Genomic DNA, 27,825 nt, shown 5'->3' on the forward strand with positions numbered 1-27,825 from the left:
TTTTGTGAGAAGTAACAATAATTAATATCAGAACTCCATTGTATAAAATAACAATCCATTTTGTGCCTTTCTATTTAAGTTTAAAGTTACAGATTTTTTAAAGAAATGCACTTAAAGGCACAAAGACAATACATAATACCTCACAGGCATATTTACATATGGAATATAAATAGAAAAACATTACTGGTCCAAGTTAATGCTGGGGAGGAATTTTCTTCCTTGGGCTTTATGTTTTTAAGTCTAAGGACCTCCAGAGGTCAACTGCTTGCTTTTCTCTCCCCACCCACTCATTTCTCCTAAAGGGAACAGGAGTTCATTATCTGATTGATTTGAGAAGAAAGAGTTTTCCTTTGTCTGCTTAGCCTCTCCCTTTGTTTTCTTTGCAGGTCTCAGAAAGAATGCCCATGTGCTGTCCTTCACATGGTAAGTTTGGTGGAGCATGTTCTGTTGTCAGAAGTTCAAATCAGGGGAGAGCTAGCAAGCCAACTGGCAAGGTGCAAGGCAGGTCACTTTTTCATCTGCTGTCTAACTTCTTTGTCTTCCACTTGGTTCTCAACTCAGCTGGGGAAGAGGAGGTTTCTTCCTGGGCCCCTTCAGAACCTGGTAGTTAAAAAAAAAGTTACCTGCTATTCAGCAACATGAGCCTGATAGTTTAGTATCTGCAGAGGGTTAGAATTTTTTCCACATTCCATCACATTAACACCAGAAGGACATGAGATCACCTTCTTTATTAAAACTAACAAAGAAATGGACAAAACCAGCATTCACCTCTACGTAAAGGAAATAAGAGATAACATGATCAGGGCAAAGTCTTCAATTCTGTTTGTAATGTTTACTTGATTAAGCTCAATGTTGCATAAGTTAATGTTGATTATGTTATTCCTAATATATTTTCACTTGTCTGACATATGGTTTAACAGGTTTTTTAAAAAGATGAGGTGTAACTGAACTTTTAATATGGAATGCTGTTACAGAAGGGGAAAATTGGAGAAGGACTTTAAATTTTTTAAAGCTCAACATTTCTGCTCCCAAGATTTTCTGAAAGGAAGATTTCTGAATCTATATTATAGCAAACCGCCATTTGCAAATGCTTGAAAAGTGGTCTACGTCTATGTAAACATTTACAGAAACAATCGAGCAGAAAAGAGCTTTGAACCCACGTGGTGACAGTGCTCTAGCTTTATGCATTGAAACCAAACCAAAAACCTCTGTATTTATTCTACTTGAGGTTTCATATATTGTCACACATCACAAATTAGAAAACTCTTTAAAATAATTCCCAGTTGGTATGTTTAAGATTATTTTTCCATTGTGCAAAAGCTTGCAGGGGGTATTTGTGTGTATTTGCTTTAAAACAAGTAGAATTATCCAACCACAAGAGATGGGGAGAAGCCATGAAACCATGCACTGCTGCCAATACATTGTCTAAGGCAGTACTTCTCAGACTGCCTTTGTTGAATGCAGTTATTAAACCTTTAAACCTTTTTACATTTTTCATTTTATTTTTTATCTTTTTAATTAATAATTTTACTTTATAAAAATATAACTTAGTTACCAAATAATCAAATTAAACTGTACAGGCACAAGCCCAAATCTATCTTCATTATTTTCAATGGACACAAAATTATTTTATCAAATTTTATAAACATTTCTCACTGCTTACTCTCAAGTTCTGTGCTTATCTTATTATGAACAGGTAAAAACTGTTTTTGGGCCAGCACTGGTCTACTGACCACACCTAAAGAATGATTGATCTAAGGAATTCTTTAGTTTACTATTTTTCTACATTCAGCTTTATCTTTATGGTAATACACAAATATGCCTTGTATTATCAGTGTAATTTTGTTGTTGCATTGCTATAACAAAATGACTGAGACTGGGTAATTTACAGAAAAAAGAGGTTTAATTGGCTCACAGTTCTGCAGACAGTACAAGAAGTGTGATGCCAGCATTTGCTTCCAGTGAGGACCTCAAGGAGCTTATAATCATGGCTAAAGACGAAGGGGGAGCAGGCATCTCACATGGCGGGAACAGGAGCAAGAGAGAGAGTGGAGGGGAGAGGGGCCACAGATTTTTTAACGACCAGATTTCATGAGAATTCACTCTCATGCTCACTCACTATCCAATAGAATAGCACCAAGCCAAAAGAAACCTGTCCCCATGACCTAAGCACCTCCAACCAGGCCCCACCTCCAACGCTGGGGATTACAATTCAACATGAGATTTTTGGGGACATATATCCAAACTATTAATATATCATGCCTACCCTTGTGTTTAACCTGCTTTGAGCTTCATTTTTTTTCCTTTAAAACATTTCAGCATGGGTTTCTTTTTCCCAGTTTTATGTTATGCCCTGAATCTTTTTTTCCTCTCTTGTCTTAATACATAGCCTTCCACATCAGATTTTATGAGAAAATGGCATTTCTTTCCTTTCCTTCTCTTGATGGATGATTGAGCATCCCTGAGATCAGACTGATTTAATAGCAATATTCAAAGGTGATATCATGGTCACTCTATTCTTCTCTCTCTTCTTTGTCTTTCCTCCATCCTTTCCTTTCTCCCGTCCTTTCTCTTCCTCATCAAATTGTAGCTGAGTGTCTACTTTATACCAGGAAGTAGGGATCCTCTGAAAAGTAAAGCCACTGTCCTTATAGGACTCAATGTCTACTAGGAAAGTACTCATCAAACACATAATTACCAAGAAGAGGGATACATTTTACAAAGGAGAAATAGTAGCTACTTCGACAGGGTTAACATGCATGGTGAGACCTGCTAACCTACCTAATTCTAGAGGACAAGGTTACAGCATTTTTTTAAAGAAACAAATTATATTTGGTATGTACTGTCTTTAAAATGAAAATGTATCTTTTCAAAATGGTATTGTTAATTTTTAAAGTCTGAAATAAATGATTTATTAAAAGTAATTTCATTTGGTTGAATTTAAGGAGCTGAAAACAGTAATCTAATTATCAAAAAAGATCTCTTGGCCCAAATGATTTTAAAAACCAGATTATAGACTGGATTTAAATTAAAAGTACCCCTACCCTTCTTGATCATTTCAATGATTATACTGTCAACATTTACTATTTTTTGGCTTCATTCATCAATTTAGCTTTCTAGTCTGAAATTTTTGGCAGTTCTTTCTTTAAAATCATTCTCTAATTGACAAATATATAAGCTCTAAACTTTTACTCATATATGATGATAGGAAAAACAAGGGTGACTGTATCCATATATAAAGAAAGTATCTTGTATTATTAGCTAATTATTCTTACATGAACTATTTCATAAATGTGGCCCATTTTCAATTTCTATAAAATTATTCCTGTGCTTTCTTTCTGAATAAGTAGTAAAATGTCAAAAAAAAAAAAGGTTATTATTATAGACTAAATGTTTGTGTTTCCCACAAATTCATATGTTGAAGCCCTAACCCCAAGTGTGGTAGTGTTAGGAGGTATGGCCTTGGGGGAAGTAATCAGGCTTAGATGATGTTGTGAGCGTAAAGTCCCCATGATGAGATTAGTGCCTTTATAGGAAGAGGAAGAAACCCACCAGAACTTCCTGTTTCCACAATGTGTGGACACAGCAAGAAGACAGCCTTCTGCAAGCCAGGAAGAGAGCTCTCACCAGGAACTAAAGTGGCCAGCACCTTGATTTTGGAATTCCCAGCCTCTAGAACTATGAAAAATAAAATTTTGTCATTTAAGTCACCTAGTCCATGATATTTTGTTACAGTACCCCAAGTTGACTGAGACAGTGATTGATAGGAAGAGAAGAATATTATCTGTATCTACTGTAATATTACTTATTACATAGGAAGAGTCCTCAGATGAAATACCAAAAAGAGCTTATTTCTTCTGTATTATAAGATCAGCTTGTATTTATTTTAAGATATTGTATCATTAGCTCTTATACAAACAAGATGTGTTAAAAATGGCAGAAATATATGAAACACTCATATTGGCAATAAGGATCTAGATTTTAGAGTTAAATGGTTTAAATCAATTTATATACTACAATACAGATGTGTTATATTATTTAATAGTTCTATTCTCACTATATCCACTTTTCTTATCCTTGAGATTTCACATCTTACTCTCACCTCTCCCTCATGTGTCTCATATGGTTTCCTTTTTCAATTTTTTCATCCATCTCTCTTGTCTCTTTTTTCTCAAGTGTATAACCTGTGACAAATACAGATATATTTTTTAATTTTTTGAGCTACATCACCTTAAGCCTATCTGCAGAGCTAGTGAGATCCCTATGCTCACAACTTTGGTTGACATAGTCAGCTGGGTCTACAAATACTAAAAAGCACCACTCCAGGCCTTGCTCCACATTTCTACAGCAGAACAAAAGGCCACACAGCTATGTATTCCACAGAGGAGTGGGGTTGGCTCTACTAGGAACAGTACATCAGAGTCTATACAAATCATAGCTTAAAGGAGATGCAATTATACAGAGCCCCCAAAGAATCGAGACCAGAGCAATCATGATGCCATGGTTACGCAACTCCATAGGCACATCTGGCAAGCAATTGCAGTCCATGAACCCTGTAAAATTGTAAATGTGGCCTGTTGAGCATAAGGGCTCTTTATATCTGACATTATATTGACCAGGCTATTGCTATCCCTTCTAGAGAGGCCCTTCACCCTCCTCTGTAAACAGAGAAGGAAGTCAGAGACTTGCTCTTGCATGCAGGCAGTTGGCAGCTCACCCTGAACTTGCTTTAGCCAGAGCACGCTCAGGCGTCATGGTCAGTGGATATCTTGAAGCTTCAAAGGTGAGTCCACTGCTCAAAGGGAGACATTTCAATGACCCAGGATTCCTGGCAGATTTTATTTCAGTTGCTGGATGGTTGTCAGAAAAACTAAAAAGCCCTCCAGCTGCCTGGAGTGTCTGTGAAATGCATGCAGTGGGTCTCCCAGACAAAGCTTTAGAAAGCTGCTAGCACCACAGATCCAACCCAGACTCTGCATCTTGATTTCACTAGAACAGATGTTATCTGCAAGCAATTAACATACTTGTCATCGCCAGTGAAACAGATACAGAATTCTTCAGGTTGATTTTTTTAAATGTACCCTAAAGAAAAGTGTTTGTGCACAAAGAAAATTTTCTCATTAGTATTAAAATAATATTCAGTAAAGAAGTTGCATGTGTCAATTTTTTAGTTTTTTTTCAATTTTGGGGAAAAGATACTATAAAAACTTTTAGAGTAAATGTCACCAGCAACATAAATATTAGTGTTAGCTCCCTTTCAGTTAAAGCAGTATCTATTTGTGATTATTGTGTATTTTCATATAATGACTGACAGAATTTGCTATTTGATATATTTTAAATGTTACAAATGACTTGATTGTACAGGTTTTTATATAAAATAATGATATCTTATTTATAGTAGTTATACAAATATCAAGTAATAGCATATTGATTAAATATGTCCCTTAAGATTAGTACAAGTGAAAAGTTTGGTAAAATTCAATATGTAAATATCGTAGATTATAATAACTAAACAGCGAAGTTTTAAGCTCTTAAGCTGTTCAAACAAAAGTATCCAACTAACATAATACCTTTATATTATATCGCTATACTTGTGACATAAAATTATTTTCTTATAAGCTAACTCTTATAACATGAATGTTCTGAATTATTTGTCCTCATTACATTCATGGTTTTTACTTAACATTCATACCTTCACACTTATTTTAATTAGTGAAAACTGAAAGTTCTGGTTTCTACCATTTCAACTTCGATACAAACATTTCTACAGAGGTTAAATAAGTTTTTTTAAATTCTTCTTTTAAATTACGACAATTGGTATAATTTTAAGGCAATATTTTTGCTACAATGGCAGCTTTAACTGGTTTGAAAATACATACTTAAATCATGTGATACTATGACTAATAGATTCATTCTAAAGAGTGGTACTTGTATTTGAAGTGACATAAATATTTGTGGCTACTGGGAGGCAGAGATGGGACAATAAAAAAAGCGCTGTACAAGAGTCTAATATTCAATAACACTCTCATACATCTATAATTTACTAACTGTTGACCTTGAAAAATGACAAGTTTTTTTACCTACAAAATGACGACCTTCTTAAATGATTTATTATGAGAGTTAGTTAAGATAACTTATTTGAAAACTCTTCATAAATTATGGCACATTATACAAATGAAATAACTTTAATCATAGAATATTGCACATGGCATATACTCAGTAAAATACCCGATGTGGGGCACTGTCAACTCTACTATGTGATCCTAGCTAATGTGTCCTATTGGTTTTTGATGCTTCCTCTCTAACAGGAAGTGCTTTATCAGTGTAGCTTAAGTGCTAGATAGATTGGTGGTTAATTTCTTTACTAGCACACAGGTGCCCCAGTGTGCTCACACTCTTCTCCCAACCTTTTCTCTACGTCCTTGTATGAAGTCTTATATCATATCTTGTATCTTATCTTTTCTATGTCCTTGTATGAAGTCCTGCTCAAGTCTGTCATCAACTCAGTGTTGGTGCAAAAGCCAAATCCTTTACTTTGTAAGCTCCTTAACACTCCTTAGGTACTTTACTGCCTAAGAGAAGATTATAGTTTAACACCTTTTAACGATTTTTTAAATAAGTAATTTTCTTTTCATTTATATCAGAGTCCTCTGTGGTTTCTCACTCATCTTCATAGTCTCAGCAACTACTATACTACCCTATAATAGATAATTCTAAGTGTTTGATTATATTAATGATTTGACCTCCAAAATCAGAACCTTCATGTTGTGGGTGAGTTTTTGTCCAAGTGAGGGCAGAAGTACCAATACCCTTGTTTAATCCACTTGATTACTTCTTGACCAATTCTTTAGCAAGAAAATCAGTACTTTGAGATTGTTCTACCTATTTGTGTACTTTTTTTTTTGAATTCTATTCTTTTAAAAATATTTTCCTAACCTTTATTCTAATTGCAATGTCTGATTTCTTTGTGCATTTTTGGGTCATTTGGTAAATTTTTTTTAAAGCACTTCTACCTTCAAGGCATTGCTCTAATAAGACTGGATATTAGATACAGCAATGGACAAACCAGGGCGGATACTCTCTGCCCCTTGGAGTCTAATTCTACTGGGCCAGCCATGCAATAAGTTAAGCAAACCCACATATTAACAAAATAATTTCAGATAGTTAAACATTCAATGAAAGGAACAAAAAGGGTACTATGAGAGAGACAAGCAGCTGTAAGAGGGACTTTTAAAACAAGTCTGAAAATGACAATTTAAGGCTGAGATGTGACAGATGAGAAGCCTGTCAGGCCAAGGGAGAATTAGAAAAAAAGGTTCAAAATCCATAAGCAGACAAGAACTTGATGTATTCTAAGAGTTTTCAGGGGCCAATGTGGGTGAAGGAAAATGAGAGAAAATGAAAAAAGCATGAGATAATGCAGAAGAGATAACAACAGCAATATTATTGACTAGTGTTTATTGTGGACTTTCTATTGCCAGATACAGTGCAAATTAAGTGCTTTGCAAACTATCTCACTTAATTCCCACAACAATTATATGAAGTAAATGTTATTATAAGCACTTTACAGACAAAGAAACTGATGATTAGAGGTTAAATAGGTAGGATCCCAATCACAAAGTGACTTATAGGACATGATAAGGTAATTCAACTTTTCTTTTAGTATAATAAGAAGCCATCAAAAGATTTTAGACAGCAGAGTGATAAGATTTGTTTCTATTAATATAAAAATGTACCCTGAATGACAGATGAACATCATGTTGCTTAATTTCCTACTCTTCTCTTTATATCTGGTTCGTTTTGTGCCCACTAGGTTATGAACCCATCTGGGACAGCAGACCATATTGATATTGTTTATCACTCTACATCCAGTGCTTAGTATAGTGTTTAACATATTGTGGCTGCCCAATTAATACATATTGAATGGCTGTACTTGATACTTGCTAATTTCCACTTACTTGTATTCTGATTTGAGTTACTAACCTTAAACATGACATTGGTCTCTGTTTTTTGAGTACCATAACACTATTCCAGATTCCTTTTATCTTTCCAGAGATTTTTATAGGAAGGAAATTGTATACAGTAACAGGTGTGCATTGTTCTTTTTGGGCTTTATTACAATGATTGTGGCAAAATCCATAGTAGCCGGGTATCTTAGTCTGTTTGGGCTGCTATAACAAAATACTGTAGGCTGGTGGCTTATAAATAACAGAAATATATTTCTCTGAGTCTGGAGGCTGGAAAAGTCCAAGATCAAGGTGCTGGCAGATTTGGTGTCTGGTGAGGGCTGGTTTCCTTGTTCATAGATGGTACCTTTAAACTGAATCCTTACATCTAGAGAGGGTAAGGCAGCTCTCTAGAGACTCCATTATAAGGGCAGTAATTCCATTCATGAGGGCAGAGCCATGATAATCACCACCCAAATACTCTACCTCCTGATACCATCACACTGGTGATTAGGTTTTAGCAAATGAATTTTGGGAGGACACAAGTAGTCAGACCTGGGGAAGAAGTGGAGATGAAGGCTGCAGACAGAGGTGTCAGGTTGGAGGCCACAGAGGTTAAAAGGATAGGAACCATCAGGGCAGAATCCAGGGTAGCTAGCAAAGAAAAATAATGTCTCGCAGTTTCTCTGAGCACTGCAAGGGCTCATTCCACCCAAGGACCCCTATTCTGTCTTGACTTGATCATCAGGCTATGTAGCTGAGTCTTTTGCGCCCCACTGAGTTAATAATACTTAAATAATAATTGTATCTATTTTGCTGAATATAACAAACTGAGTAAGTGCTGGTTGAAGTAAAGCTCATAAATTAGAATTCAGTCCCTTTATTTATTGTAGAATTACATCCACCTTGAAAAAAAAGAATTAAAGGCAAAAAATTCAAGTATTTTTCTCATTATGGGCTACATCACAAATTTTGAAAAAAATAATTTATTAAATATAATAACATTGCATCCAGCAGTTGCTCAGTGTTAATCAGAATGCTAGATTTTGCTATTATAACAAATTAATCTTAAACTTCATTTCCTTATCATATGCTCACACAGACTGAACTCTAGTCTGCATAGTTTCAGTCCATATTCCTGGATGATAGCATCTCCACCATTTTAGCGCAGCACCCTCTGAAACATGCAGCATCTTTGATAGTTGGGAAAGAGATATAAGAGAATCGTGGGTGTAATTTCTACCTCCTCAATCTGGAAATGATCTTATTTTACCAGCCAAAACTAGTAACATGCTAGTGTTGAACTGCAAGGAGGCTAACAAATATGGGCAAGCAGATGGAATTCAGTTGAGCATCACACATATTCTACAGTGCTCTCCAAACATACCATTTTCAGAAGGGTAGCAAGTCTAAGACTTTTAGTTGATAGTAGAGGGATCATATTCCACCTTGTAGTCTGTACTTTCAGTTTCACTTCTGCTTTTCTTTAGAGTCAGGATACATTGATTATTATACAGTCACTGGAAGCACCAGATGTATTTCCAAAATTCCTGTTCATGCAGAATATTAAATAAACAGATGCCATTCCTCATTAGGAATTTATATGCCTTCTTGACTAATATAAAATGTATCAACTCATTTCCAAATTAAGGATTATTAAAATCGATATTTCTCATGGTCTTATTGTAGTGTTCTCTAAGAAGGGTTAAGCCTAAAGCTTTTTTGGTCCCAAGTGTATTGTTCATATGCTGATTGATTTGGAACATAACTTTAAGAATTGTGAAACATCTTCCAATTTTTTAATGAGAATCAGTTGTGCTGTTTCTTAAATGATATACTGTGTTGGCACAATATCTATATGGTGTCATCATTATTGTAATATCGAAGATTCAGGCAAATGTTCAGTTGTGTTTTCACTTATTTTGGAAAATTGGATTACATCAATAAATTTACCAGGAAAAATAACATGACTTAAATATTTTCTAAAAGTATCTTTCAAATACGGTTCTAGGGTTCAAATTGAACATCATTATAGAGTGTTTTTGAAGATGTTGGAAAGCCATCTGTAGCAAGCTGTCAAAGGAATTTTTGTATCAATTGGGAGGTCAAACTGGAGGACTTCTGGATTTTCTTAGAAAGTTCCATTCATCTCCACAGTTCTTTTGTTTATATGAAAAAAAAGATATTAACCCAATGTTCATCATAAAAAAATAGAGAAATAAATTGTGAACGATTCACACTTAGTATATTACACAATAGTAAAAGTAGAGTACAGCTACTCGCAATAATATGGATAAACTTTTACATATAATGTGAATGAAAATCAACTTCTAGAACACTACATAGAATGTATAATTTTTATGAAGTTCAAAACAAGGGCTTCATTAGTCTATACACGTGACAAAACAATAAAATACAAAAATAGAGAAATATATTCAGAATCTTGGTTAGTTATGCTAGTTTGGGGAAAGTCAGGAGATTCAATAGTGAAGGTGCATATTAGTATGCTTAATGGTATTGGAATTTTCTATGTCTTACGTGGAGTATGTTCACAAGTGATTATTTTATAATATACTTTATAACTCTTACATTCCCTACATTCTTTCGTATCTAATTGTACATAATAAAAATGTAAAATTAAGGAAAAATTATTTCCTTTTTTTTTTTGAGATAGAGAGATTTGCCGTATTGTCCAGGCTGGAATGCAGTGGCACCGTCATGGCTAACTGCAGCCTCCTCCTCCTGGTTTCAAGCGATTCTAGTGCCTCAGCCACCTGAGTAGCTGAGATTACAGGCATGTGCCACCACACTGGGCTAATTTTTTGTATTTGTAGTATAGATGGGGTTTCACTATGTTGGCCAGGCTGGTCTCGAACTCCTGGCCTCAAGTGATCTGCCTGCCTCTGCCTCCCAAAGTGCTGTGATTACTGGCTTGAGCCACCATGCCTGGCCATTTTCTATTTTTGAATAATAATGTCAATCAACAGTCTGGTTTGTTAATTGACATTATACCTTTTTGGATATTGTAGTGACAGATGATGGTTCAAGCCTACTAAGCAGAATTTATTGGGCCATAGGTCTTTAATAAATATCCTGACATAATTGATTTTGTATTTGCAAATACTTTCATAACTCCTACATATTTTCCCTATTTCCATTAGCTTCTCTATTTTTTTCCCGTTAGTTCTAATCTCCAATTTCCAACTAAGCTCTGACTCCTAGGATGGGCTTTACCTAGATTTAGTGTCAGAAATTGCTTGACTCTAACATAGTTAGGATAAAACCTCAGGTTATTCCAAAATGTTTTGGTTGGGAAGCAAGCAACAAAACAACCACTTCTCTTTGTCTACCAGCTATGTGTTCTTTGGTTTTCCATCAATTGTTGAACGTGTTGATCCTGCTTTCCTTACTGCTTCTTCTAATATCTTTCAATCCTTATCCTAACAACCATTGTGTCAATTAAAAAAAAATGATAAAAATGCCACTTTAAAGATTTGAAGGGGGAAGTAGATGCTCCCACCTCTTTCTCCATGGCTACTTAGGGTCTGAAGTTATTGATGAGTATTGTATTTTGGCCTTAGTTATTGATGAATGTTGTATTTTGGCCTTTCTGGGACTCCAGTATTAACCCATGTGCTGGGAACTTATGCTGCCAGTGCTCTCAGCTGGCTTCATTTTTGCTCTTTTTATTTCTATCTTGGTACTGAGAATACAAAGGGGCATAACTTGTAGTTCTCAAGATAGGAAATGACAAATATGCAGAAAGGATTAGAAATTTGGAATCTATGTGATTACTTTTATACTTTCTTAGTTTTGCAATTTGTGGTACAAATTATTTACTATTATAAACATCAATTGAAATTGTTCTAATTAATGTAGATAGAAAAGAGAAATAAATAAAAGGTAGACTCATATAACTAAATTTCAAAAATCTGTTTCTATTATCTATCCTCTTTCTGGTGATTTATATTTTGTTTTAATTCAAAATATAAAATGCAGGTTTTTTTGTGTTTTTTTTTTTGAGATAGAGTTTTGCTTTTGTCACCCAGGCTGGAGTGCAATGGCACGATCTCAACTCACTACAACCTCTGCCTCCCAGGTTCAAGCGATTCTCTTGCCTCAACCTCCTGAGTAGCTGGGATTACAGGCGCCCGCCACCTCGCCTGGCTAATTTTTTTTTTCTTTTTTTTTAATTTTTAGTAGAGACGGGGTTTTACCACATTGGCCAGGCTGGTCTCGAACTCCTGACCTCAGGTGATCCGCCCACCTCGGCCTCCCAAAGTGCTGGGATTACAGGCGTGAGCCACTGCACCTGGCAAAATGCAGTTTTTTTAATACTCTTTTTTTCTGACCCAGGCACTTCTCTTCCTATAGAGGGCAATTGTAGAATTGACAGGACAACAGGTTGTGAGCTCTTCTAACTGAACCTGCTGGAGTTGGGGGAGTGTGTATTTCCAGCTATTGCCCAGAATCCTGAATTCTGAGCTGGTTCTGAATTCTAATGTGACCATTACAGACAGAACATGGCGGCTAGAAGAGATTAAGAGCTCATGAGAACAGACCCAGTAAAAAAGACGATGGGAAGAGAGTGTTGTTGTTTTGTATGGTCTTTATTTCTTTGGCATATGTGGTAAATAAAAATAAGAACTAAGCAGTATATATTGGAGAAAATGAGTATTTTTTGTCACTGAAAACATTTAATAGACAACTAACAGAGATGAGCAGAGATGAGTTAAATTATAAAATTAAGAGAGTAAAAAATGATTACGTATATTTCAAAGTTTTAATCCTTTTGTATATTTATTGTTTCCCACGTTGAAAACTATATATAGCAAGTTATGGCCCTTCTAAATTTTTCCACCACGAAGAAGTATAATGAGCAGAAATGAAGAAGACTGAGGAGATAACCTATTTTTTAGTCTAATTCACTAGTTACTGTTTTTCAATTTACCCTATTTTTCTCCTTCAACCTTTTTAAGGCTACAGTTTCTGTTACTTTTCTGTTTTATTTCACTAATTTTTTTAAATTTTTTTCTTATTTAAGAAAGCACTTAACCACTTTTTCTATCTCAGATATTCTAAAATGTAATTTCATTAATTTTATTAATCATAGAATTTCTGTAACTAATATTTAATATTGTGTTTGACAAGAGGTTATAGGGTATTTTTATTTTTGTAGCTATTAATTTATTGACATTTTGCCTTGTGGGCCATATATTTTGTTTGCTTTCTTCAGATAATTGGCAGCCTGAAAGGTATAATATAATCCAATACAAACCTAACTAGCTAATAGAATTTGATAATTCAAAGAATAAAGACGATGAATAATTTAGAAATTAGAGGTGAGGAAAAATGAGAAAAAATTGGAGATGACATAATGTTTCCAAAATTTGGTCAAAATTATGGCAAGAGAAGAAAAATGAGTCCAAATGGGAGAAGAGGTACTTGAAAGAAGAAAGAAGAAAAAGTAGGAACTTGATGTTCTAGTGGTCAAAATGCTTTCTTGGGTAATTCCTAGAAAATATGCCTAGGAGCAAAATGGACACTAATTACCTACTTACTGGTTCTATACCAGTGCAAAACATTCATTCCTCACCAAACCCAAAAGACCAATAATCAAAACTACCATAATGGTCCTAGTCCTGTCTACATCTGAAGGTGAAAAGAAGTGTATTCTCCTCATTTTTCAGATGAGTCAACCATAACCTTTGAAGAGTGCCTGGGACATAATGATTGCTTCAGAATAGATTTATAAATGAATGAGTAGTTAAACCAAGGTCAAACAGCTGGTATCAGGAGAAGAATTAGGGGTAAGTGATCCTTGTCTCCTGCCTCTTTATGCCTTAGTCTTTTCAATACACCATATTCACCTATGATTTTCATTATTTCAGGAAATATGACAGACTTAAACTTTCACTTTATTGAGTAGGTTATTGTTTTGTTTTTGCGTCTCCTAGTTTAAGAAAGAGAAATAGAAACAGCCAAACAAAACACTGGTAGGCATTGACAACAACAACCTTAAGGAAACATGCACTAAGAAGGATTGCAGAGGCATGAGGTGGTGAAGTCCAGGGAGTACAAATAATCTCATATGCATCTGACTACTGCACTCCAACAATACACACAAGAGTTGAATATCACTCAGGTAGAATAATTTCATATGGTACAAAGATATAATATAGGTTATATATACAATACCATCTCTAGTGGTTTGATGGAAACTTTATGGAACACTCAGTTGAAAAAAAATTCAATAGTCATGCATGAGGTCCACAGGAAATGTATCAGATTGATTAAGAATGTCTGTTGTGGTTATGGATAGTGATACAGCATTATGAATATCATAAATATTCAACTCTTTCTTATTATATTTTTTATTATCACTTTTACATTATTCAGTGAATTAACTTGCCTGACAGAAGACTAGGGCATAGTTAACTCTCTCTCTCTCTCTCTCTCTCTCTCTATATATATATATATTCAACATATATATATATATGCAACATATATATTCAACAAATATATGGATATTCAACAAATATATGGATATATTTTTGTTAAAATAAGCACTTCACTAATAGAAAGGGCTATATAGATATTTGATGAATTATATATAATGATTAAAGATTCTTGATGTATACTGACAGGAAGATATATTAGAAAAAATAAGAGAATGTCATTCCATGGCATCACTCACTGCATAGTCTATCACCTGGAAGTGAAAAGGAAGAAAGAGAGATTTCTTTACCAAGGGAAAGATGATTGACATTGTCTTCCATACCAATAGTCAGGTGAAAAATGCCTTTTAATTGCAATATTTTAGAAAAGTTCAATTCAGTCTACATTTTGAAAATTTGGGGGATGAAGTCAATTAAAAAGTACAAGAGAACTAGCTTAAACTTGTGGTTGATGCGGTTGCACCACTCAGTGACATGTGGGACAGATTCCTGGATGAAAGAAACCATCACCCAAGTTTAGAATTCACTGGATCCTGTGGCTTTTGAGATTTGAACCTAACCTGAACTTTTTGGTGTGTTGTATTTTCCTTTTGTTTCCTGGCAAGAGAACGTGTGTGTGTGTGTGTGTGTGTGTTTGTGTATTTGTACTCATTCTACAGTTGGTAAAAATTATTGTAAAGCCAACTGGGAAATAGGTTTTTGAATACACTTTGATGAGTTAACCATAAATAAATTAATATCAAGAGGATTAAATTTCCATTAAAATATATAAATATTTAAAAATTGAAGGGAAAGATACCTAGAAAAACATAATTTAGGTTTTACCCAAACCAGAACATTTGTAAAAATAGCTAAAAATACTAGATGATCTCAAATTGTGGTCTAGCTCAAAACCTTAAGTTACATTGTTTTCCAATATTCAGATTCCCTATGATCCCCAAGCAATATTAGGTAAAACTATTGCTCCTCAGGGAAGAGAATTTCAAATCTCTGATTTTGGTCTCCCACTCATTCATCAGGCCTCATTGGGACCTGTCCTTGGTTGGATAACATATAGGGCCACCATGCAAGTTCTAAGAGCCACCTGGGAGAAATAATTAAAATCATGTGGCTAAGCTCTTCAAAACATATAGAAAAATTGATATGCCTGTCCCTGTGGGAGGAAAAGAAATCCACAAGAATAATGATCTTAATGGTGCCTTGGTGTTGCTTGACTTTCAGTGTATACTCTGTAGTGCAGCCAAATCTCCTGATCCGAAGGATTGTAGTGTTGGCTAGCAGAAAAGTAAAATAAATGTATGAGATATGAGACATTGTTTGCATGTGATTTTGTGAGAATATCATCTTTTTAAGTAGTATGTCTTTTGTTAATCTACTCAGTCTATTGTGTCACTTTATATTTTTTAAAAGATAGCATTTTAGTTTAACATGCTAGAGTAGAAAGGACATGGGATTTGGAATTAGACAGATCTGACTCTGTCCTTGAATAGCTGAGTGAATTGGGGCAAGCATCGTACCTGGCACACTGTAAGGGGATGTTAATTCTACCTCGTAATGTTACAGTTGTGAGAGTTTGAGATTTTATATAATCTGGTATAATGTAGGTGGTCAATAAATGCTAGTTATTACTTTTTATTTTTTTATCTTATAGCTTCAGAACTTTTATGTGAGAGAAAAATATATTTTAAAAGAAATAAAATTTCCTCATGACTGTCAGCATTTCTTTAATTTTCATACAGTGGGCCAGATCACTAGGCATTTGATACAAAGGACATCAGAATAGAACCTCTCCTCCCTACTGAAGGATCTTAAAAAACTGTGACAAATTAGAAAGCAAATTAAGCTTCATCGTAAAAGAAATAGAAACTAGGATCTCATATTTAGAATGATTCCTTGCCAGTGTTTGGGTTATGCCAGCATTCAACACTGTTCTTTGGTTCTGTTGTAACATCCAGCTGTTATGATAACTCTGAAATAAGTAGTGAATTTCCATTTTTGCAGTTTAACTTTTGAACTTTATAACCATTAAATGGGAAGCAATATTCTGGAATCTATAGTTTGGTTTAGCAAAGAAGAAATGTTTTCTGTTCTCTGCAGGCCTCACTTAGACCTGGATATTGCTGATTGTCCTGAAATATGTATATTCATTCAAGAAGCCTAGGGTAATACTCCTACAGGCTTAGAGGATGCCTGATATTACAGAGCTTTCAGGAAGTCATCATATCTATATATATTATTAGTCAGTTTTATACTAACTTGGGCACTTGGAAGGTACATATTTGCTTGCCTATTTTCTTTTCTGGTATTTCGGGTCCTAACAAAAGAGCACCAGTGACTACTTATCTTTACTGTAAATTTATCTTTTACACCATATTGTGTGTACATCCTTACTGTGAAGCCATTAAACAATAGATTTGTCTAATTCTGCTTGCTCATATCCATGCTCACCAAGCAAGTGTGTCTAATAAAGGTGTGCAAAATGTTATACTGCCATTAAAGGAGCATTGATTCACATGACCACAAGGTGAGGTCCCAAAATAGGCCATCTGCAAGCTGAGGAGCAAGGAAGGCAGTCCGAGTGCCAAAGCTAAAGAACTTGGAGTTCGATGTTTGAGGGCAGGAAGCACCCAGCACAGAACAAAGATGTAGGCCAGAAGACTAAACCAGTCTAGTCTTTCCATGTTCTTCTGCTGGCTTTTATTCTAGCCATGCTGGCAGCCGATTAGATTGTGCCTATCCTGATTGAGAGTGGGTCTGCCTTCCCCAGTCCACTGACTAAAATGTTAATCTCCTTTGGCAACACCCTCACAGACACACCCAGGAACAATACTTGGCATCCTTCAATCCAATCAAGTTGACACTCAATACTAACCATGACACCTCTCATCAGATTATAGCCTGATTTATACGAGACTTCTACCTGACTTTTCTCTTTTCTCACTCATCTTATCAATTTGTGTCTGCCATAATCATAACTATAATAATTCCTGTAAGTGCCTACAATAGTTCCTTATTGTCTACTACTATAAAACTTTGGGATTTAATTAAAAGATCTCCAAGAGTTTGGAATTAAATTTTTAGAAATGCATCTGAGTTAAACTATAAAATCAGGTGAATATAGGTGAGGTGTGTCAGCTGAAATGAGTTCCTGGTAACCCATTTGAAAATGCTCATGTATCTTGTCAAAGACTGAGACTCTCAGAAAGAGGAATTTGTCACTCCTAGACACACAGAGAAGAGATGAGTATCAAATGTATCTGTTGGCAACATCTATCCAAAGATAATCCAAGGAAAGGGAAATTGTTCGTCCAACCTGGAATATTTCAATTTCTAATGACAGAGATATTGCTAGAGTGCAAATAAATATGGGAAGTTGTAATCAGTGGGTTTCAGATCACACTGCCAATACCATCCTTATTGTGAAGCCATTAAACAATAGATTTGTCTAATTCTGCTTGCTTATGTCCATGCTCACCAAGCAAGTGTGTCTAATAAAGGTGTGCAAGAATGTTATACTGCCATTAAACCTTTCTTGTCCCTGTAACAAAAGTTGCTTCTGGAAATTCAGTAAAACTGTGTCTGATTACTATTTAGCTTCCTGGTTTAGTTATTTTTGTTTGATTACATTCCTAAGAGTACCCCAGATTTACTCAGGCATCTATTCTCTTTCTTGTGATCATAGGCTTCTTAGAGGCTGGAAGCAGCCTCCAAGCAGGGGTGAATCCTTATTTGTCTACACTGATCAATGATTCCCATTTTCTGTGCCAGCAACTTGTCTAGGCCAGAAACAGTTCTAACCTGTGAGATATAAAGGCAGTTAACTGGTGGATCGCAGGAAAGATTCCTCATCCCTTCATTTGGTGCAAATGAAAGCATGCCTTCTACTTCTTAAAGGCTTTGTCTTCTGTATGATACTTCAGAGTTCTGCAATGACCCCACAAGGGGAGCTAGCTGAGTATCAGGCAGAGAGAGACAGAGAGAGAGAGAGAGAGAGAGAGAAGAGAGAGAAAGAAACTGTGGCCTTGATGACACTATCATCCCCTGAATTAATTAGCTCTGGACTTGCTCTACCTCTATGCTAAAGCATAAAACATGAATTAAGACTTAGGTTTGAACTATCTCAGTTTAAGGCAGTATAGTATTGAGTTAAGAGCATGGGCTCAAGAACCAACTGTCTTATTGTGAATCCTGGCTTTGCCAAATCCTCAATGCATGAATGTGGGGGAATTTAATATTGTTGTGCCTCATTTTCCTTATGTTTGTCATATAAACTAAAAGTGTTAATACAAAGTAAAGAACTAAGAATTTTTATAAATTGTAAGCTTTTCATAAATATTAGGGAAAAAATCTTATGGCGGAAAGCAATGTGATTGATACACTTCCAAGTAGTTGAACCACAGGGAGAAAATATAAGATTCCTGCCAACATGGATATTCCAATTCTTCTATGTATTTCTTATTTTAAAAGAATAAGTTGGCATTTTGATATCAGCCACAGTTTTATGTGTATTAAAGCTAACATGGGTCATTCTCTCAAGGTCTGTTAACCCCTTGGCATTGGAAATAATGAGTTTTGAACCTTAGAAGTAGTGGACCAGATGATCCAACAGAGCTGCCATCATATTGTTGTTTCCAAATACCTCTCTGCAGACCTGTGCAGCCTGTGATGAGATGTTCTCCAGCCTCCAGTAAAATGAAAATGTAAGGAGTGAGTTTTTCACAAGCCAAATTTCTACTTTAAAGGAACATCCTTTATTTTGAGATCATTTGCATACTCCATTTTTTGTTCCAGATTTTCTTAAATTTGCTTTAATTTATTAAAAGTTAAACTCCAAAGTCTTTCCATGGTCATTCCTGAACAATTACTATCCAGTGTGTTTCCTGAACTCCTTTTAGACAGGATTCCCAACTTTCCCCTGACCTAATTGAGCAGAACCTTCACATCCTATCAAAGTCCCACCCCTCAAGTATTTCTTGGAGGCCCTGGGATGTATTTAACGATGCCATCCCCATTGAATCTTTGGTGCTGCACACCAAGCCTGAGAATTATTGTCCAGGTTCCACTCCCACTACCATGAGAGGGCTGCTCCTGTCTGTTCTCACAGATGCTGCAGTTTCCTGCTGGCCCCTCATTGGCATCCACCAATGTCAAGTTGGGAAAACTGCCCTCTCTTCTTCTTGTTTCTTTCCAAGATGGCCCAAAGCAGCCTTATTTCAGGCTCATGTCTTTCATTTGGGTTCAAATACAGCCTCTGTGGTAGACTCACATGTTTACTCTCCTACTGTGGTTGAAATGAGTAACTGTGTCAAGTTCACCAGGCTTAGCCTGCTCTCCCCAAGGGGAAATCCTTTCCAGGGAACTTATTCAGTACCTCGTGTTTAAAGACTTTGGTAAAACCACTCACCAGTACTACCTGCCAGTGTGTCTGAACTAGAGCAATAGATGGAATATGAATTTTTTCCCAGAGGGTACAAATATATTTCCATCAGGCCTGTATCATCAGCTTGACAAATATACCTTAAGCCCAGCCATTGGTAGAAGTCCATGCACAGCTCAAGCAGAATCATGGCTCTCATCATTTAGGAAGTTTTGGAAATGGAAATAGTACCTAAAGAGCTAGCCTCCGGTTCTTGTCAATTATCCTTAGGCAAATTACTTAATTTATCGAGACCTTAGTGACTTTATGTGTAAAATGGGGATAAAAATAGTACTTACCTCCCATGTAAAGTAGATAGGTTAGTATCTTATAAGGGTACATAATAGAGCATATACAATAAATCTTTACATATATGTCAGATATTATTATTATGAGTATTAACTCTGTAACACTGCCTCCTAAGGTGGAAGCATATGAATATTCTTAATTGACTTGGGCTAGTGCATTCTGACAACACTTCTTTTAAAGACATACATAATGCCTTGGAAAAGAAAATTAATTAATGATGTTATATTACTATATTTACTTTAAACCTTATTCTGAAAGGTTTTTAAATACTCACAGAAGATATCTTGGAATATAATATACACATATATATCAATTAACTACTATAATGTCTTATTACTAGATGCATAAAATTGATAATAGCATTACATCAGACTGTGGAATATATAAGCTAATAGAAAGGAAAATTTTCTTAATACTACAGATTATCCTTACCCTTCTTGCTTATTTCCCTAGCAAGTGGCAGGGAAGTTCAAATGACTGCTCACATTGTATCTTTAGTTCAAGTCACGGCTCAACCTCACAGAGGTACAGCTGACAATTGCAGATGTTCATTAGTCATGGAACCATGGAGACAGACCCCACTGATCAGTTTGTAAGCTGTGGGCAGATCATGAAATTGTCTTGCCGCCATACAGATAAACAAAACATATGTGCTATTAGTTTAGAGCTGAAGATAGAATTTGCATGTGAACTTAAAAATCAAATGAGAAGCTACATAAACTGTAAAATTTTAGAGAGAGAGAAAAATATAATACAAACTTTGAGGACATAAATAAAGGTAAGTCGTAATGTAGAAGAGAGCCTCATGCTGGCTGAAATTATGTCTAGCATTTTACACTAGTGGATTGGACTGGCCAAAGGCTTGAAACCTTGTGGATTTGTGGCTCTTCAGATATGCTTCTGTATTGGAATGTGTTTGTGTTTGCCTTTATTTGTTTTTAATTAAAAAAAAAATCTTGAAGAAAGAGTTTCTGCCTTGGTAGATTTTCTTTGGAAACTCAGAAAGGGCTCTTGAGGGCTCTGTGGCTCTTTTGTGATGATAAACCAAAGCTTTGAGCTTGTCCCAGTTGGAATTCCAGACACTAAAGAAGCAAACTTTAATTATTATTATTGTTTTCTACAGAGCTGAGCCCCTTTCTGATTATTCAGGTTGATACTAATAGTCTTCTAAACATATTGCTTTTTTTTTTTCCAGCTAAACTAGGACTACAAAGCAAAGCAGGAGAAACTTCACAATAAGGTTTCAGAGGTGCCAACTTTTTGAGTCTCCATGGAATATACCTGTGGTGTGGGAAATGTTATTGGGAGGGAAATATTAATAAAAGCAGGGCCTGCAGTGAAAAACAAATTTCTCAAACTTGTAGAAGAGATTGTTACCTGGGAAAGATGGTAGCTGAGATAAACTTGGATTCTGTGAATGAATAAGTTTACCGCAATATCTGAATCTCTAAACCAATACATTAATTGATAATCATAGAATCTTAGAGTTTTAAGGAAACTTACAGATTTTCAAATCGAATCTTAATCTTCTGCAAGAACTAGCTGCACTATGTCTCCAATAGATTACTCAGTTTCTACTTAATCATACAATCTAGCAGAAATGTCACTATCATACAAGACAGCCCTTTCCAATTTTGAGCAACTCTGAAAGGAAGTCTAGCCTCACACTGGGCCAAAAGCTATTTCCTTTTTAACTTTGATCCACTATTCATAGTTCTATCCTCTGAAGTTACTTTTTCTTTCATGTAATACCTGTCAATTATTGAATGTAGTTATTATTTCGCTTATTCCCTAAATTCTTCCCATGTCAAGACTTCTAACCTCCTGCAACCATTTCTCTCCTTTAAATTAAATTCAGTCAAATTAACATTAATTGAATGTAACCATGGGCCACACTCTGTGGAAGAATCTCAGAATACAAAAATGATCTACAGTCTGTAGTCTTGAGAAGTCACAACTGGGACAGGGAGACTGAGAGACATACAATCTTATCACTGCAATACATTCTAACAAATGTGAAAAAGAGGCTTGCATAAGCTGGAGGTGGCCTGGAGTGATTAGATCTGCCGAGGGAAGCTGGGAAATCCATGTCTAAACAATAGCATTTTCTCACATGAAAAATTAAGGAAAGGCATTTCAGGTAAATCAAAGTATGTGTGTAAGACATTGCTGTGTGTAAAGCAAGTTGTGTTAGGAGAATGGGGCACACATACAGTATTTTAAAATTTTCAATATGAAGCTTCACTGGACCCAGACATTTTATTTACATAATCAACTAGGGGCTTTTTTCCCAATCTTCTAACCTGTCTTGAATTTCTATTTCCTTTTTAAAATGCTTATTTTTCCTTTTCTAGTGTAAGAATAACCTTATTTTACAGGGGAGAGAGAGTGACATAAAAATTAAGGATTTGGGTGATCTCACAATATTCTTGAACACCAGACCCTCCTATGCAAATCAACTGGTCTGTTTCTCTCTTGTCTTGATTCTTGCACCCCAAATAACTTTAAAGTACTTTCATTCTTCAGATTCTTAGCTCATCACAGGCTTTATCCTTACCAACACGATTCCAGTCCCACTCTTCCATTTGTCAGTGACCGTTTACCCTCCCTGTGTTTCTTATTTTTATTAATTTAAAATATTCCCTGAGAGAGTTATCAGTGCTTTTTAAGTGCATTACAATAGTTAATTATTTAACAATTATTAATCGTTGTTTCAAGAGCTTTAGATACATTATTTCGTTCAATCTTTACAATAGGCTTATAAAATGATTATTACTATTTTTCACAATTTACAGATGAAGAAATAAATTCTGAGAAGATACACAATTTAGCTACAAAACTTCATTTTAGTACTGGCTTTTTAAAATCTACATTGTACCTGCAAAACTGTGACTTTTAAATCCTTCCCATTTTTTACATCTTGGCCTTATTCATAATTGAAAGTGAGAAAATGTCATTTTTATTTCCTGCTAATGTTTTTTTCTATCCTAGAGTATATAACCATATGAGCAATCTTCTTTTTGAACATTTTGAAATCCCATTTTTGTTTTAGCCAAGCACTCATTGAACACCCCCAGAATGACCTCATGTGCAGATGCTCTACTGAGGTTCATAGCTGAGCCCAATAATTAAGAAATTAAACTGGGGCTCCTTTGGACGATTACTGCAATTCAAATGACTTATTTCTTGGAATTCATGGTTCTCATTTATACATAATTGCTTATTTTAAGTCATATGGCCAAATCAAGAATGATAGAGTAAGTACCAGAATTTAAACTTAAAATTACAAAATTAGAAAATTACAGGAATAAACATGAAGCACCTTCATTAATTCCTGAAATCTGGTATTTTTTGTACCTTTTGCTGATCTCCCAACTTTCCAGACTCCCAGGCCCTCATCCAACCCAGGGATGCCCATTGGGTAGCCACAGATATTACCATCTGTTAAGCTTTTAAATACCTCTGCCATTACTTTAGACCTAAAAATAACTCGGGCTTGGGATCATCGCAAACATTTGTTGGCAGATGCTAAAAATACAAATGGGAAATTCTGCTATATTAGCTTTTATAAGATGTAAAAAATGTGTTTTGTCAAACCAAAAGACATACTTAGGAGACTTGTGGGTAAGAAGGATGGCAACTTATTGGAAGACAACAAGGGGAAATTGAGCTGGAAGAGGAACAAACAGAAGTGAAGTTGGGGACTTTGTTAAAGGAAAGTACACTTGTTATTAGTCTGCACGATATAATTCTTTTTGAAGGAAAGTAAGCTTACAAAAGCAGGGCAGTGTCTGTCCTGCTTTTGTTCCTGAGAACATGAGAAAAAAAATGAGAACATACACATTCTATCAAATGATCAGTATATGAAGCAAATTATATCCTGTTAACAGGCAAAACTGGTACCATAGAGATGGTGATGGGTCTGAAAGAACACACAAGATGTATTAGAACAGATATGTACTTTTAAAATGATCTCCTATATAACTGATTTCCTTTTATAAAAGGAATCACTGAGAACTGTTTCTGATCTTGTTCCTAATTTTATTTCTTCTAATGTGAAAATGCCTATCAGGCATTTCTTATTGAAAACTAAAATAATGTCCTTGCCAATCCCAGAAGAGGAGAAAGGAATAACTCCTGGGGAGAAAGAAGGGGGAAGAAGAAGGTGTGAAGAGTGTTGAAGTAAAGGAATGCTGTTTTGGCATCTCATCCATGTCGGTGACAGCAGGTGCCACAGAGGAAAAGACAACCAAATAAAGGGCAAGGAAACCAGGAGAGCAGACACAAAGGGGGAAACAGATCCCTCTGCCCTGTGCCTCATTAATCTTGTCAAAAATACTTGCTGCTGAGAAATGCTAATCTTCTCACTCCCCAGAGTAGCCTCCCTCACAAGAATGTTTTAAAGGCCTGGTATATCTAATGACTGAGCCATTTAATAAATTACTTACTTACGTTACTATAAAAGCTAGTCCAGCAGCTGTAACCTACATGTAAAGCACTAAATCCTTTTACCTGATTTCTAAAGGTTTCTCTAAATCATATTTAGTGACAGGGTGAGGTACACAGGAATCAGGATTTAGTGGCAGGGCATACCTCATGCTGTTTCGAGTAGGTCAGGAGGTCTGACTTGGATTTCTTCCCAGTAACCTGATCTAGGTGAATCAGCAGGTTATAAATGAAAGTCAGTTTCTAAGATCTCCTGACTTTCTTCAACTATCAGGAACTTTATAGGAACCTGGTGAGAAACAGGAAAAGACCAAGAGATAATAAATAACATTGACCAATATTATGGTATTGCAATTTCTCTTTCCTAATACAATGTAAAATGTAGTGCCATTTTTGGACAAGCTAATTATTTGTATAGATTCCTGAGTTTGTTATTTTTGTTAGCCTGAATAAATATCTAAATGATTGGAAAATGTTTAAGAGCTGAAAGCCTTTTCTAGGTCACAAAGTATAACATTAGATAGTGGTTCTTCCAAGGGCAGGTTCTAATACTTTCATATGTTTCTATCACTCATTATATGAAAATTCCTCATTTTAAACCCTCACTTTAAATCACAGGAAGGAAGACAAGTTAGAAAAGGAGAACAAAGGAAACAAAATGTATTGGAAGACTTGTCACATTCAAAGTATTGACATTCATTGCCTAGCTTCATTCTCACGGCAACTTTTGGACGAATTAAACTTCTGCTCAAAGACAGTCACAATAGCTATAATAAAATTAGTGTTTGATTCTAGCTTTGTCTAATTGCAAAGCCTGAACTGGAGGTAAATGTCTGGTGTAAGCAAACTTCCACTGCCCCTTAAACCATACCTCACTGATAATTGTCTCTTGTCCTACCCATAGCCTGGTTCTGCACCACTTTCTGCACCAATTTATGTCGTATTTCTAAAGGTTATTTTTCCCTTCTTTATTACTATTTTCAGTTAAAAGATTTCTCAGTTAGCATGGCTTAGTAAATCAAGAACTTACATCTGTACAATCTCAGAGAAACCCAAGGGCATCACAAGCACCACTAGTGACATGTTTCCTTCATTGTAAATGGGCAATAGCACTTGCTGTTTTTGAATGCCATGAACACATTGGGAATATTCAGCTACTTTGTGGGTCAATATAGAAAAATTATATTAAATATGAAGAAACGGTCCCAATTTTCTCATCATATTGAAATGCCAATAATTATAATAGCTCACAGATATGTTATGAGGATTGACAAAGTACCACATGGAAAGCGCAAAAGGCAGCTCACAGCTTAGGAAAAGTGTTAAGTCAATACTAGCTTTTATTAATGATGTTTTTATACTTATGAGTAAGATTATTGGGTTCCTATTCTCTAAGAGTTCACTAGCTCCAGAACCACACAGTAAAATGCTTCCTCTCTTTATGTCCCTTCCAATGTCAATTTCACTGCTTCTGTTCTATATTCCAGAAGTGTGATTGGTGATTAATGAAGTAAATATAAGAATAAGCTCTAGATGATAAGAAACTGGTTATATTTGCAAATACAGCCCTCAGTAACCTGTATACTTATAAATAACCTGAGATTTCTGCCCCCATATGTACCAAAACAGTAACTGAAATATAGTTTCTACACACTCACCTCCCAACCCTTTCTTATCCTGTAAAATAACTAAACAGGAGACTGTATGATCATAGCTGAATAATAAGGCTCTGCCTGTATCGGTTACCTTTTTCTGAAGGTCCTAAGGTCCTAATGTGTTTCAGGAATGTCTACCTTTGACCTTGCTAGTCCATACTCTGAAACGTCTAATTTTATTTTTATGCTTTTTGTGTACTAGGGTGAGGGCAGGCAGGTAAAGGTTAGGTTGTGTGATATTCAGAGGCTGGAAACTGAAACCCCCTGTTTCTCACAGCACAGATGTGGTGCAGACAGCCCGGGCCTCTACATTTCCTCGCTGTGCCCTAAAAATGACCTTAACCCTGACATAGAAAGAGAAGCAACATCACTGTGAAAGGCTGTTGCTGGCTGGCTGTGTGAGAGGGAGCAGTTTTCTGAGTGTGGGGCTGTGTCCCATTGGCCTCTCCTGTGTCATAACACTTCCAGTCTCTCCAAGTTGACCTGGATCCTCTGAAGCCAAAGAAAGGTCAAAGTTAATTCTTTGTGCCCATCAAACTCATTTTATGAGTTGTTTTTTTCCATGAACCAGTGGGAAAATGATTCAAATCAATACTTTCTCTTCAATCTTAAAATATATTGGAAATAATTGTTTTCTTTTGGGGTACTTTTCCCAAACAACCTCTGCCTTTCTACCTTTTGCTTTATTCTAATAAATAAATAAAAATATATGCATATATATGTATACATGTTCATATATACAAAATAATCAAACCAAAACAACAATCACCTCGACAAACTGTGTTTCCTTTGAATTGCTTATTTTTATATATTTCATATCTTAACAATTGTAAATCTAAATGATAATAAAAAATATATTTTTAGCTTCTTTAAAGATTTCAAATTCTTGTTTTTCTTCTCCATTTAAGACAGATGTTTATTTTTATATGATGTCTAGGTTTTATAAAGTCCAGGTAAGAGGATGCTTTCATTTTTTCTTTCTATATTTCTCATGATAGAATAATGGAAAGTGATCAAACCGGGAAATGGAAGAGTTTAAGCAAACGGAATTTTTTTACCAAATTATTAAAACAACATGGACAGGTTTTCTTTTTTAAAAAAAAATGACTGACAAAGTTAGTTTTGTAAAGTATTTCTTGCAACTATTTAATTAAACTCAAGTCTCATGTAGTATAATTCAATTCTTATGTAGTGTAGCCTCTTCTTTGCAAGAAAGCATCATTTTAGGGTAAGAGCCATTTCTCAGATGTTCACCTTACTTTCTGTAGTAAGGCTTCAACATGCTTGTGACTGCCTATAACCCTATCTTCATCTTTCAAGGCCTGTGGATACTGAAAACAAAACAATGAAAGAACAAGACCTCTGATAGATTTCATGGGCTTCTTGGAGGACCAACGTCAGTCAATGGAAGTGTGATGACTTATCAGAGGTAAAGTGGTCCTCTATTGTTCTTTGCTCAGAAAGATATTTAAGAAGAAAATCCATTTCTATTGCAAATTTATTCCTAAGCCATTGCTCTGTTAAGCATTTGTATATGGAAAGGGATACTGATGAATTGTTTTTGAATATTCTAAATAATAAGAACTTATGTAAGC

At 35.4% G+C, this 27,825-nt stretch overlaps 2 long non-coding RNA genes across 3 annotated transcripts in view, besides 3 other annotated features; one reads left to right on the plus strand and one right to left on the minus strand.

The window, feature by feature from the left end:
* On the minus strand, window positions 1-24,800 carry LOC105377993 (uncharacterized). Its single transcript, XR_001743837.2, has 3 exons — window positions 24,723-24,800; window positions 9,334-9,496; window positions 1-600 (listed from the first exon to the last, which is right to left on the minus strand). It is a non-coding gene; the product is annotated as an uncharacterized LOC105377993 (long non-coding RNA).
* Window positions 1-27,825, plus strand: part of LOC105377992 (uncharacterized) — a 61,454-nt gene that overhangs the window by 32,236 nt on the left and 1,393 nt on the right. Inside the window, exons 2-4 of one of the 2 annotated variants that reach the window (XR_001743836.2) lie at window positions 387-423; window positions 13,637-13,756; window positions 27,551-27,659. This is a non-coding gene — a long non-coding RNA (uncharacterized LOC105377992). Of the gene's footprint in view, window positions 1-386; window positions 424-13,636; window positions 13,757-24,749; window positions 27,660-27,825 lie in introns of those variants that run through there. The other variant, XR_007059742.1, reaches the window with a different exon arrangement.
* Window positions 26,246-26,325: an enhancer, noted in NCBI's record as "active region_25037". NCBI's record gives its function as "activates an Ori minimal core promoter by ATAC-STARR-seq in GM12878 lymphoblastoid cells {active_cell/tissue: GM12878}" and the evidence as "EXISTENCE:reporter gene assay evidence [ECO:0000049][PMID:35858748]".
* Window positions 26,336-26,475: an enhancer, noted in NCBI's record as "active region_25038". NCBI's record gives its function as "activates an Ori minimal core promoter by ATAC-STARR-seq in GM12878 lymphoblastoid cells {active_cell/tissue: GM12878}" and the evidence as "EXISTENCE:reporter gene assay evidence [ECO:0000049][PMID:35858748]".
* Window positions 26,556-26,665: a silencer, noted in NCBI's record as "silent region_17525". NCBI's record gives its function as "represses an Ori minimal core promoter by ATAC-STARR-seq in GM12878 lymphoblastoid cells {active_cell/tissue: GM12878}" and the evidence as "EXISTENCE:reporter gene assay evidence [ECO:0000049][PMID:35858748]".

This window comes from Homo sapiens, chromosome 6, assembly GCF_000001405.40.
Source record: "Homo sapiens chromosome 6, GRCh38.p14 Primary Assembly".
NCBI classification, from domain to species: domain Eukaryota; kingdom Metazoa; phylum Chordata; class Mammalia; order Primates; family Hominidae; genus Homo; species Homo sapiens.